Source organism: Homo sapiens, chromosome 1, assembly GCF_000001405.40.
Source record: "Homo sapiens chromosome 1, GRCh38.p14 Primary Assembly".
In the NCBI taxonomy this organism is placed as follows: Eukaryota; Metazoa; Chordata; class Mammalia; order Primates; family Hominidae; genus Homo; species Homo sapiens.
The window spans coordinates 119,575,166-119,589,632 of record NC_000001.11 but is presented as its reverse complement, the minus strand read 5'-3'; positions in this window follow the sequence as shown (position 1 = coordinate 119,589,632).

Here is a 14,467-nt window from a genome sequence, read left to right as displayed (position 1 = left end):
GAATTGCAGTTATAGGCAAGCAGAGCTATATGACGATACTTCATTTTCCCTTTCTAAATATTTGGGTGGTGAAGGCACTATATGTATATTTTGGTTAAGCAAATAGGTCTGAAAAGTTATTACCAGGGAGACTGCTATGGGACTGTTTCTCTTTTGGAGTGTTCCATGCAAATGTTTCCTTGACCCAGCCCTTGACTCTGGGGGTTAATCTGGGCAAAAGTGAACCTGCACTGTGGCGTGGGTTCATGCAGGAAAGTGTCCAGTCAAGGAATGATAGAAGACTTTTCACGTCTGTTGGTTTAGGTAGTGACCCATTCTGCTGGCTTCCATCCTAACTCACTGTTTTCCTCCTCTGACTGCTATAATTCTCCAGATGTGATGATGTATTTTGATCCAGCTTTGCCTTCGGTTATTTAATAAATATTTATGGGGCCCTCTATGACATTGGACATGATTCTAGGCTCTTGGGAATGTAGCAGGAAGCAAGATGGTCTAAGGTCCCTATGCAGGTACAGATAAACAACAAAATAGACAACTGATAAGTTAGTTGCAGGTTGTGGTAACAGCTAGGAGGGGAGAAACAGTGTGATGTGACGAGTGAAGCAGATTGTTTTTGGGAGAGGATGGTCAGGGATGTTTCAACTCATTAGGGCAATGACAATTCAGCTGAGATCTACATGTCAATAGAGAGCCAACCATTAGAAGATGAGGAACATCATTTTATGTAAACGGAATGATAGATGTGAAGATCCGGAGGCAAGAAAGTCTTGCGTGTTTATGGAATTGAAGGGAGGCCAATCTGGCTGGGACACTGTGAGTAAAAGAGAGAGTGATGAGGACACGAGTTGGAAGGATGAGCAGATCATGTGGTGCCCGGGAGAGCTGGAGATCAGTTTAGAGTCTATAGTAAATGGAATGGGAAGCCCCAGAAAGGTTTTATATAGGTGAGACATAGGATTTGAGTTTACTTTAAAAAATCTCTCAGGCTGTTATATGGAGAACACAGTTTGGTAAGCAGCAAGAGAGACATTGGAAAAGCCAATGCTGAAGCTATTCATTTAGAGAGAGACTTTTTTTTCTCTAACCTTCTTTTTTTGTTTGTTTTTATGAGGCAGGGTCTTGCTCTGTTACCCAGAGTACTGTTGTGCAGTGGTGCGATCTTCAACTTCCCAGCCCAAGAGATTCTCCTACCTCAGTCTCGGGAGTGTCTAGGACCACAGGTATGCACCACCATGCCTGGCTAGACTTTTAACAAATTTTTAATTCTGTAGAGATGGGGTCTCCCTATGTTGCCCAGGGTGGTCTTCAAATCCTAGGCTCCAGTGATCCTCCTGCTCGGCCACCCAGAGTGCTGAGACTATAGTCGTGAACCTTCATGCTCAACTATCTCTATCTTTGATGTGAGTGAGCCTCTGCCCACATTCCAATTAAAGAAACTGTACCTGATTGCCATGGAATTTTTGAGGTTTGATTAGTTTAAGCAATAGATTTTCTTAACCTTGGAGAGCTTTTCTGTTTGTCTTTTAAATGTAGAGAGCACTTACTTGAAATGAGGCCTAAGTACCTGTAATTTTGTAGAAACTCCCTGGGTGATTTTAATGGGCAAAGAGGGTGAGAACTCTTTAGGACCAATTAGGGACCCCCTTTCTTTCTTGGGGATTACAGTAAGTATAATACATAAGGCTCAAATCCTCTCCTTCACCAGAATTATGGAGGCAAAGGGCAGTGCAAGGTACATCAGGCTTTGTCTGCTCCTGGTAGGCCACCTTTCACACAACTGCTCCAAATAGTGAAGACAATATCATAAGTAAGAGCCAGGAAAAGTGCCTGTCTTGGCTGTCCATCAGATGACAATGGAATAGGTGTGGAAGGCTGCTGCTGGCCTTCACCGTCTTCACCACTCAGAGTCAGCCTTCTTCTGCTTCTCTCAGATCTTTATTCCCCCAACTCAGCTCTCTTAACAAAGCAAAACCCCAGGCATGACTTGTTTTCTCAGCTGCCCTTGGCAATCACATAATTTCCATCCTCTCTGCCCCTGGTGGGAGGGGAGGAGCATACTTGGCCAGTCTCCAGCATGAATTGTCTAGTCTTTGCTCCTCGGTCTCATTGTCACAGCCACAAGTGCCCTGCAGTTTTCTGCTGCCAGACTGTGGTTTCAAGGTCATGTTCACTAACCCAAAGCACATTCCAATGGGTTTCAATTTCCAGCTGCTGCCATGAGATCCAGGCCATTTTCTCAGTGCTCTCTGCATCCAGTGGGTGCCCTACCTCAATCCGGCAGCCGGGATTGCTTAGCTTTGGAAGCCAGTGAGGTGGGTGGCAAGTTGTTCCATATACCATGTTTCCCTCTGTTTAAGAAGTTTGAAAAAGGTATCAGTGTTTGTGCGGTGTTCAAGCTGGCATTCCAGATGTGTTGAAGATGTTCAACACAAGTGAAAGAATTGACAGGCCCCTGTTTCTAGAGACTAGGGAATCACTGGAAGCAGTTCCATGCATTCTTTTTATTCACTGAAGACACTCCACTGAGATGCTTTTCTGAAAGCATCAAGGGCTGAAGTAGGGAGTGGTTCTGCCTGGGTGTTCTGATACCATCTGTGTATGACTGGCCTTCCCCAGACCCCAAGGCTGTGACTCATTAAGAGCAGAGACCCTGAGAAGTTCACCCCTCAGCTGAGTGGCATGTTCCAGGCATAGTGCTCAATGCTGGGGAGACAGATATGAGAGAGGTAGAGATGCTTACACATTCCAACACCATTTAAGGGCGAAGGTGAAGGCTGATTTTGTTTCCTGCCTGTCCAACCTGCTTGGGGTGAATTATTTTGCCAACTGTATGTATGACTTTAAGGATTTGGCCCCTGGGGCTGCAAGGGATGGGAGGTGGACAGGGGGGAACTTCATGTCAAGGCTTCACATGTTATGCTAGGGCAAGACGGTACATTCAACAAAGGCTCAGAGTTAAGCAGATTCTCTGCCAAGGACTTTGCAACTATAAGTCAGAGTTTCCACCACTGCTGCAAATCAGGCAATGTCGACTGTACCTGGCTTTGTTGGGTGAGGGAAGGGACAGTGTGTGACCTTGGAAAAGCTAATTCACTTTGTCAAGGGGCTGGAAAAGTATCTGGCTAGACATTTCTCTTGTTAGGGGTAGCATTAGTGAATGTCTGAAATGAGGGTCACCTCAAGGTTTCACCTGAAGCAGCTCTACTGCTTTCTGTGTTGAAGTTAATAGAGTAGGTAGAAATCACAGACATGACTTCACAGCCTGAGATTCACTGGACTGATACAGCCACTGTTCAATGCTGCTGCAGCCTAGACCAAGCCCTATAGGTATTCTTGATCTTGCTCTCATCTGTGCAGTGGAAAGATGCAGGTATGAGGTGTGGGAAAATCAAATCAAACAAAATGACAAACATGAAGGCTCTTGTAAGATTCACGGGCTTGTGTGAATGTTAGGAAGCAAGGTGGTTACAAGGTGGTCGTGCTCAGTGCTGCAGAGAAGGGGCTGCTGAGGGGCATCCTAAAGTCTTGTATCATAGCTCCTGGGATCCCAGAAGGAGGAGAGAGGCAGTTGCAGTGCATATGGACTCTGTCCTCTGGGATTTCCAGCTCCTAGGGCAGGGTGAAGAGGAAGTGAGAAGGCATGGCCTCCCTTTCCTGAGAACAGGAAGAAAGAAGGAACTAGTTCTGCTCCTCCTTTGAGGGTGTGCTGTGTGTGGAGTGAGCAGGGCAGAGCTTTGGCATTAACTGGCAGTGGACTTGAGCAAGGCATGACTTTTCTGGGTTTCTGATTCCTTTTCAGTAGGCACTGACTCTATTGGTCCTGCCCATTTTAATTTCTAGTGATTGTCTAAGAGTTTTAAAACCTTCTTGGGAAACATCTATAGCTTAATGCCAAAACAAAAGGCTGTATTTAAGTCAGCATTAAGTTCTGCAGTTCAGTGGTCATCAGATATCAGGGAAGGAGGGAATCGGTTCCTACTTGGCCCACTTCTTGATCCTTTACAACCCTATGAGAGGTATGACGCCCCTTTTCCAGTGAGGTGCCATGTGCCACTAGAGCCACGAATGACTGGGAAACCACTTTCTCAAATAGCTTTGGCTTCACACAAACAAATAAGCACAAGGAGGCTTATGTTATTACGAAGTTTAGTGGCAGAAGTGTGCAGGTGCCAGAGGATGCAAATCATCTTACACTTTTGCAGCCCAATGTCACTGGCAAAAGACCTTAGAAATGAGCCATAACCTTCATTTTGTAGGAAAGAAAACAGACCCAGGAAGGTGAAGAGATTTGCTTAACTTCGATGACAAAATTGAAATCAGAACCCAGGATTTTCACTCTTCACTCTTATTTGCAAAAATATTCTTCTTCTAAAACAAAAGAATACTCGCTTGTTTTTTGCCCTCCTTGACCCCTTTCCTTAGTCCCTCTCACCCCCAACTACTTTCATTTCTTTACCATGAAGCACCTGCCTGTCTCCATTTATGCAACATCCACGTCCACAAGCTGATGTTCAGATGAGAGGTTGGGTTATATAGGCAAGATAGATGGTTTAGACAGCAGACTTCTCATTAAACCTACCCTCTGCCCTGTTTCCAAATGTCTCTCATCCCAGTTTTTTTTCCCTTAATAAATATTTTACCTCAAAGGTAGCAAATCATTGGTCACCATTACAGACAGTTGTCTAAGTGAACGTTGGAAAGGTCATCTCACTTCCCAGGCCTCAGTTTTCTCATCAGTAAAATGAAAGCAGGAAAGGAACCCACAGTTAAAAGCTGGAGTAATGGTCTCTAGATCCCTCTTTAACTTCAATTTAATAAAAATTTTAGAGATGAAGTCTTGTCTGATGTTGAATTCCTGGATTCAAGTGATCTTTCCCCTCAGCCTCCCAGTAGCTGGGAATACAGGTGTGCCCTACCATGCCTGATGAAACTTTCTTTGCTCTAAAATCTGAACTCCACAAAGACATTGATCTGTCCTGTAGGAGTCAGGAAGCCTTTTCTATTTAACCATGCTAGGTCAGCAATAGGTGTTTTGCCTGCTGCTGAAAGAAGTTCTCTCAGTCAGGACTGCCTGTGTATTTTACAGGGATCAGTGCAAAATGAAATGTGGGGTCCCATGGCAGCCCCTTAAGCCAAGCACAGGCCCTGGGTGACCTCACCGGCCTTGTGCCCAGAGAGCTGCTCTGCTCAGAGCTACACCAGGGATTTGACAGACTCCAGCTAGTGCAGGAGGGAGTTAGTGCCAGGCTCATGAGAAGGGTATTCCTACTTTAGTGGCCAGCGTTCATGCTAAGATGACAATAGGCCCGGAACCCATATCACGCCCACCTCTCTGTCGCCAGTACCTGTTTTGGAAGAAGGGCTGACTGCATCAGTGCTGGTTCTTCCATTTCTTGAGGAAAGATTGCGCTCTTCAATAAGGAACTTCAGGTTTCCAGAACAGATTACTGACTGTTTTGGAGTCTGCAACTGACCTCAGTGCTCCCTGCCTTTGGGGACAGAGTGGCTAAGCCACTTTCTTTTCATCCAGCCTTCCCTCTCCACTTCCTCATAATGAACCTCTTTCATGCCTCAGATCACCGACTCCATTCCCTGCTCATTACCATTGGGTGGGATCTTGGGCCAAGATAAAGAAAAAGAACGCCCCTCAATTTTCCACCAGAGTCCCCTGATGTCTTAAGAAGCACATGTAGACAGAGAGGTTGCGTGGTCCTCACTTGAGTCAACTAAGAGTGGGAGATTCTCTTCTGAATTCATTTTTCAAAAGCAGTTTTTCCTTTTTTTTGTAGTATAAAAATGCTCTGGGCCTTGCACCATTTCAGGTTTTGGATCCAATTCCCAGTCCCTTTATAACCTTGGCAGCTGGGCTTCGCCTTCAACAGCCTTTCCCTTTCCCTGCTCATGGGCCTCTCACAACCCCACTCTCTCTTTCTATCACACAAATGAGTTCATTCTCAGCACCATACCCACTATGTGGCTTATCTCTTTTCCAGCTCTCATCATGATGATCGAGCTTCTTCAGGTTCATTGACACCCTGAAAATTTGTCTTTGAATTCTCTCTTGCTTTGTCATTGAAAGCATTGTGCTCCCTGACTCCCCATCCCCTCCTCTCTCCGTCCTAACATTTGAGTTTGTTGGTGTTTCATCTTTCTATCCGTGCATCCATCTATCTCTCCATCAGCCCATGTGTCTATTTTGTGTCAGTCACTGGGGACAGAGAGATGACATGGTGAGTTACTGTCCTCAGGACATGGCAGTGTAGGGGTGGGGGACAGGATATATAAATAAAAAATTAATGGCAGTGCAACTAGATATGCACAAAGCACAGAGGCTATAAAAGAGATGCTTTGGATGGTGAATAAGGAGCTGGGAAGGATGTGCTGGCAGGAGAGCTGGGCACCCTCTAAGCAGAAGGAATGCCGTGCACTGGCCTAGGTAGATGTAAAAGCATGCTGCAAGCAGGAAGCCCTGAGTTTTTGAAAATTGTTGAGGCACAAAGTAGGAGAATCTGGGAACAGGGCAGGGATTGGTGAGAATTAGTCTGGGGTGTTAGGCAGGGCCCAGGGCTTCAGAGGCCCTCTATGTTATGTTAAGGCTCTCAGGCTCCTCCTGACAGTCCTGGGGCTCCACCCAGTGGTTGGTTTTAAGGAAGGGCATGACGTGGTGAGACTAGTTTGGAGAGACAACTCTGGCAACACTGCTAAGGATAGGTTTCATGAGTGACTCTCCAAGACAGGGAGGCCTGTGGCAGGTACAAGTAGGAATGATGTTACCAGGGAGGAAGAGGACACATTCAAGAGGTGTTGTGGAGGTAAAGTTGGTAGCACTAAATGATAGGTGGGAAGAGTGGGGGGCTGCTGTCCAGGTTTCTGTCTTGAAAAAGTGGGTGCATGAGAGTTCTGTGCCCACACCCAGTCCTGTCTAAACTAGTGGCCATTCTGCCTCAGGCCTGCCTCATTTGCCCCTGTATTCCATTTTGTTACCAACACATAAATCAGGCCTTCATTTCTTACCTAGATCTTGAAGTATCCTCTTCATCTCTTTCAGTCCATCCTACGACATGCTGCCAAGGTAATCTTCCAGGGACAGCTGAACAATTCCCATTGCAGAGTGAATGACGTCCCAGCTTTTAGCATCACCATCAATATTCATTGCTGGAGGAGACATTCTTTTCCCATAGATTCCAATTTTTGAGAGAACATGAGGCATGTAGTATGTGTGAAGTAATTGAATGTCGTCGGGTTTTTTTGTTGTTTTTGTTTGTTTGTTTCTTTGTTTTACTTATTTATTTACTTATTTATCTTATTTTTTTGAGACAGAGTCCTGCTCTGTCTCCCAGGCTGGAGTACAATGGTGTGATCTCAGCTCACTGCAACCTCTGCCTCCTGAGTTCAAACAATTCTGCCTCAGCCTCCCAAGTAGCTGGGATTACAGGCACCAACATCATGCCCCCTAACTTTTTTGTATTTTTAGTGGAGACAGGCTTTTGCCATGTTGGCCAGGCTGGTCTCGAACTCCTGACCTCAGGTGATCCATCTACCTCAGCATTGCAAACTGCTAGGATTACAGGCGTGAGCCACCGTGCCCGGCCCAAGTCATCTTTAATGGGGACACAGAACTCCTACTCTGAGGTCAATGAAGGAAGGAGGCAGGGTGTCTCCAGGGGTGGCCCCGGGTGATCCTGTGTGTGCCCATCATGTCTTTCCAGGTGTATCTTCCATTTCTCCCTGGCGTGGTGCTCTCTGGTCTGGTCTCATTGTTCCCTAAAAGTGACCCCTTTCCCACTTGGGTCTTTGCAGACTCCATTGTCTCCACCTGGAATACTTTCCCTCACATTCCTGTCTGTTGAAATCCTACCCATCTTCTGATATTTAGCCCAAATGCAAGGACCCCATGAATCCCCTATGGGAATGGATCTCCCGGAAGCATTTTCCTTTCTTATGGCACTCTTCACATTTACTGTGCACTGCACCTAACACGTCTCCTATTTTATCTCCCGCACTGGACCACTAGACTGGGAGCAGAAGTGGAAAATCAGAGGCCTTAATCCTGGGGCCAGGCTGTGAGTGTGTTTTCTTAGTTTGCATATTTGTTCCCCACCAAATTTAATTTATTAAAAAATTATAACCTATGTTAAACATACAGGAAAGCTGAGAGTATGATATAATAATGTATATTTGGGACTTATCGCCAAGAATGAATAGATTTGCTGCTGACACCTCACCACCCACTTTTTAAGATATAAATTATTGCACATACAGTTGGAACACTAGCCCACACATCCCTCTCCTGGAGCAGATCTTCACACTGCTTTTTCAAGTTTAGAGTTAGTCACTAATATTTGGAAATCATGGGATTTCACATCATAAGAGTTGGCCTCTTGTCACTTTCCTGCCAGTTCTCACCAGTCCATCACAGGCTCTGGGGCCCACCCTGGCCCTTGGAATCTGCCTATCTAGTCTGTGGCTTAGTCTGGCACCCGAGCTCTCTCATCTGCGCTCTGTACATGCTTTCCAGAAAGCAGAGGTCCTCCTCATGCCCCTCCATCCTCCTCTGCACCACTGCTCGGGCTGTGCCCATTGCTTGGACTGAGGAATTCAAGGCCTCATTCAAGCTCCACTGGCTCCTGTGGCTTTTCCCAGTGACTTCAGCTCAGCTTCATTCTCTGTACTCATATATACCTAGCCCTTAAGCCGGTGGCTGAGCACTTGCCTTTGCTTTCATTCATTCCTTTGTCAGGTACCCTGCAGAGCCACCCAGGTGGAGAAAAAGGACCCAAAAGTACCTTCCAGGTTAGGCTTCCTTGTTTTTCCCTCCAAGCCTTTCCGCCCCCGTATGGTGCATCCTGTGAGGTGCATCAGGGCTTGGTGCAGGAGCTCTGCCTGGCACCCTCAGTTGTAAGAAGGAATGGCACATTTTGTTGGCCGTAACACTCTGAGGCCTTTGTACCTCTTTAGTGAGATGGCTGACTGATCAGGCCTCCTCGCCTCTTTCGCTGATCACCCCTCACTGCCTGTTGGAGATATGTCCTCTTCCTTCCTTTGCCTGTGAAAACTGCCCTGGTGGTTTCGTAAGCGTAGGGTTTCACCAGGCTGAAAAACCAGGGGAAGGCGTCTTGTCTCTGATTCCACCACCTTCCTTTGGTTCCTATGGTATTTGGCATTAACATATGGATGTTGCGTTTGCCTTACAAGAGCTGGAGCGATGCTGGCTCTTGCATTTTGTGCAGTGGCTGGGGAAGGAGGGGTGTTGCATTTTTCTTTTTTCTTTTTTTTAATTTGTTAATTTTTTATTATACTTTAAGTGCTAGGGTACATGTGCACAACATGCAGGTTTGATACATAGGTATACATGTGCCACATTGGTTTGCTGCACCCATCAACTTGTCATTTACATTAGGTATTTCTCCTAATGCTATCTGTCCCCCAGACCCTCACCCCCAACAGGCCCCGGTGTGTGATATTCCCTGCCCTGTGTCCCTGTGTTCTCGTTCTTCAATTCCCACCTATGAGTGAGAACATGTAGTGTTTGGTTTTCTGTCCTTGTGATAGTTTGCTTAAAATGTTGGTTTCCACCTTCATCCATGTCCCTGCAAAAAAACATGAACTCATCCTTTTTTATGGCTGCATAGTGTTCCATGGTGTATATGTGCCACATTTTCTTAATCCAGTCTATCATTGACGGACATTTGGGTTGGTTCCAAGTCTTTGCTATTGTGAATAGTGCCTTAATAAACATACATGTGCATGTGTCTTTATAGTAGCATGATTTATAATCGTTTGGGTGTATACCCAGTAATGGGATTGCCAGGTCAAATGATATTTCTAGTTCTAGATCCTTGAGGAGTTGCCACACTGTCTTCCACAATGGTTGAACTAATTTACACTCCCACCAACAGTGTAAAAGCATTCCTATTTCTCCACATCCTCTCCAGCATCTGTTGTTTCCTGACTTTTTAATGATTGCCATTCTAACTGGCATGAGTGGTATCTCATTGTGGTTTGGATTTGCATTTCTCTGATGACCAGTGATGATGAGCATTTTTTCATATGTCTGTTGGCTGCATAAATGTCTTCTTTTGAGATGTATCTGTTCATATCCTTTGTCTACTTTTACATGAGGTGATTTGTTGTTTTCTTGTAAATTTGTTTAAGTTCTTTGTCGACTCTGGATATTAGTCCTTTGTCAGATGGGTAGATTGCAAAGATTTTCTCCCATTCTGTAGTTTGCCTGTTCACTCTGATGATAGTTTCTTTTGCTGTGCAGAAGCTCTTTAGTTTAATTAGATCTCATTTGTCAATTTTGGCTTTTGCTGCATTGCTTTTAGTGTTTTAGTCATGAAGTCTTTGCCCATGCCTATGTCCTGAATGGTATTGCCTAGGTTTTCTTCTAGGGTTTTTATGGTGTTAGGTCTTACATTTAAGTATTTAATCCATCTTCAGTTATTTTTCGTACATGGTGTAAGGAAAGGATCCAGTTTCAGCTTTCTACATATGGCTAGCCAGTTTTCCCAGCACCATTTGTTAAATAGGGAATCCTTTCCCCATTGCTTGTTTTTGTCCGGTTTGTCAAAGATCAGATGGTTGTAGATGTGTGGTGTTATTTCTGAGGTCTCTGTTCTGTTCCATTGGTCTGCATGTCTGTTTTGGTACAAGTACCATGCTGTTTTGGTTACTGTAGCCTTATAGTATAGTTTGAAGTCAGATAGCGTGATGCCTCCAGCTTTGTTCTTTTTGCTTAGGATTGTCTTGGCTATGTGGGCTCTTTTTTGGTTCCATATGAAATTTAAAGTATTTTTTTCCCAATTCTTTGAAGAAAGTCAGTGGTAGTTTGATGGGGATAGTATTGAATCTATAAATTACCTTGGGCAGTATAGCCATTTTCATGATATTGATTTTTCCTATCCATGAGCATGGAACATTCTTCCATTTGTTTGTGCCCTCTTTTATTTTGTTGAGCAGTGGTTTGTAGTTTTCCTTGAAGAGGCCCTTCACATCCCTTGTAAGTTGAATTCCTAGGTATTTTATTCTCTTTGAAGCAATTGTGAATGGGAGTTCACTCATGATTTGGCTCTCTGTTTGTCTGTTATTGATGTATAGGAATGCTTGTGATTTTTGCACATTGATTTTGTATCCTGAGACTTTGCTGAAGTTGCTTATCAGCTTAAGGAGATTTTGGGCTGAGAGGATGGGGTTTTCTAAATATACAATTACATTGTCTGCAAACAGAAACAATTTGAGTTCCTCTTTTCTTAATTGAATACCCTTTATTTCTTTCTCTTGCCTGATTGCCCTAGCCAGAACTTCCAAAACTGTGTTGAATAGGAGTGGTGAGGGAGGGCATCTTTGTCTTGTGCCAGTTTTCAAAGGGAATGCTTCCAGTTTTGGCCCATTCAGTACGATATTGGCTGCAGGTTTGTCAGAAATAGCTCTTATTATTTTGAGATATGTTCCATCAATACCTAGTTTATTGAGAGTTTTTAGCATGAAGGGCTGTTGAATTTTGTCACAGGCCTTTTCTGCATCTATTGAGATAATCATGTGGTTTTTGTTGTTGGTTCTGTTTATGTGATGGATTACGAATATTGATTTGTGTATGTTGAACCAGCCTTGCATCCCAGGGATGAAGCCTACTTGATCATGGTGGGTAAGCTTTTTAATGTGCTGCTGCATTCGGTTTGCCAGTATTTTACTGAGGATTTTCACATTGATGTTCATCAGGGATATTGGCCTAAAATTCTATTTTTTTGTTGTGTCTCTACCAGGCTTTGGTATCAGGATGATGCTAGCCTCATAAAATGAGTTAGGGAGGGTTCCCTCTTTTTCTTTTGATTGAAATAGTTTCAGAAGGAATGGTACCAGCTCCTCTGTACCTCTAGTAGAATTCGGCTGTGAATCCATCTGGTCCTGGACTTTTTTTGGTTGCTAGCCTATTAATTATTGCCTCAATTTCAGAACCTGTTATTGGTCTATTCAGAGATTCAACTTCTTCCTGGTTTAGTCTTGGGAAGATGTATGTGTCTAGGAATTTATCCATTTCTTCTAGATTTTCTAGTTTATTTGCATAGAAGTGTTTATAATATTCTCTGATGGTAGTTTGTATTTCTGTGGGATCGGTGGTGATATCCCCTTTATCATTTTTTATTGCATCTATTTGATTCTTCTCTCTTTTCTTTTTTATTAGTTTTCCTAGTAGTCTATCTTTTTTGTTGATCTTTTCAAAAAAACAGCTCTTGGATTCATTGATTTTTTTTTTTTTTTTTTTTTTTTGAGACGGAGTCTCGCTCTGTCGCCCAGGCTGGAGTGCAGTGGCGGGATCTCGGCTCACTGCAAGCTCCGCCTCCCGGGTTCACGCCATTCTCCTGCCTCAGCCTCCCAAGTAGCTGGGACTACAGGCGCCCGCCACTACGCCCGGCTAATTTTTTGTATTTTTAGTAGAGACGGGGTTTCACCGTTTTAGCCGGGATGGTCTCAATCTCCTGACCTCGTGTTCCGCCTGCCTCGGCCTCCCAAAGTGCTGGGATTACAGGCATGAGCCACCGCGCCCGGCCTTCATTGATTTTTTTGAAAGTTTTTTTGTGTCTCTATCTTCTTCAGTTCTGCTCTGATCTTAGTTATTTCTTGTCTTCTGCTAGCTTTTGAATTTGTTTGCTCTTGCTTCTCTAGTTCTTTTAATTGTGATGTTAGGGTGTCGACTTAAGATATTTCCTGCTTTCTCTTGTGGGCATTTAGTGCTATAAATTTCCCTCTACACACTGTTTTAAATGTGTCCCAGAGATTCTGGTACATTGTGTCTTTGTTTTCATTGGTTTCAAAGAAGATTTTTATTTCTGCCTTCATTTCGTTATTTACCCAGTAGTCATTCAGGAGCAGGTTGTTCAGTTTCCATGTAGTTGTGCAGTTTTGAGTGAGTTTCTTAATCCTGAGTTCTAATTTGTTTGCACTGTGGTCTGAGAGACAGTTTGTTGTGATTTCTGTTCTTTTACATTTGCTGAGGAGTGTTTTACTTCCAATTATGTGGTCAATTTTAGAATAAGTGTGATGTGGTGCTGAGAAGAATGTATATTCTGCTGATTTGGAGTGTAGAGTTCTGTAGATGTCTATTAGGTCTGCTTGGTGCAGAGCTGAGTTCAAGTCCTGGATATCCTTGTTAATCTTCTGTCTCACTGATCTGTCTAATATTGACAGTGGGGTATTAAAATGTCCCATTATTATTGTGTGGGAATCTAAGTCTGTTTTGTAGGTCTCTAAGGACTTGCTTTATGAATCTGGGTGCTCCTGTATTAGGTGCATATTTATTTAAGATAGTTAGCTCTTCTTGGCGAACTGATCCCTTACCATTATGTAGTGGCCTTCTTTGTCTTTTTTGATTTTTGTTGGTTTAAAGTCTGTTTTATCAGAGACTAGGAGATTGCATTCCCTGCTTTTTTTTTGCTTACTATTTGCTTGGTAGATCTTCCTCCATCCCTTTATTTTGAGCCTGTGTGTGTCTTTGCACGTGAGATGGGTATCCTGAATACAGCACACTGATGGGTCTTGATTCTTTATCCAATTTGCCAGTCTGTGTCTTTTAATTGGGGCATTTAGGCCATTTACATTTAAGGTTATTATTATGTTTGAATTTGATCCTGTCATTATGATGTTAGCTGATTATTTTGCCCATTAATTGATGCAGTTTCTTCATAGCGTCGATGGTCTTTACCATTTGGCATGTTTTTGCCGTGGCTGGTTTTGCAGTGGTTGTTCCTTTCCATGTTTAGTGCTTCCTTCAGGAGCCTTGTAAGGCAGGCCTGGTGGTGACAAAATCTCTCAGCATTTGTTTGTCTCTAAAGGATTTTATTTCTCCTTCACTTATGAAGCTTAGTTTGGCTGAATATGAGTTTCTGGGTTGAAAATTCTTTTCTTTAAGAATGTCGAATATTGGCCCCCACTCTCTTCTGGCCTGCAGGTTTTCTGCCGAGAGATCCGCTGTTAGTCTGATGGTCTTCCCTTTGTGGGTAACTGAACCTTTCTCTCTGGCTGCCCTTAACATTTTTTCCTTCATTTCAACCTTGGTGAATCTGGCAATTATGTGTCTTGGGGTTGCCCTTCTCGAGGAGTATCTTTGTGGTGTTCTCTGTATTTCCTGAATTTGAATGTTTTCCCGCCTTGCTAGGTTGGGGAAGTTCTCCTGAATAATATCCTCAAGAGTGTTTTCTAACTTGGTTCCATTCTCCCTGTCACTTTCAGGTGCACCAAACAAATGTAGATTTGGTCTTTGCATATAGTGCCATATTTCTTGGAGGCTTCGTTCATTTCTTTTCACTCTTTTTTCTCTAATCTTGTCTTCTCACTTTATTTCATTAGTTTGATCTTCAATCACTGATACCCTTTCTTCCACTTGATTGAATCAGCTGTTGAATCTTATGCATGTGTCACAAAGTTCTCGTGCTGTGGTTTTGAGCTCCATCAGGTCATTTAATGTCTT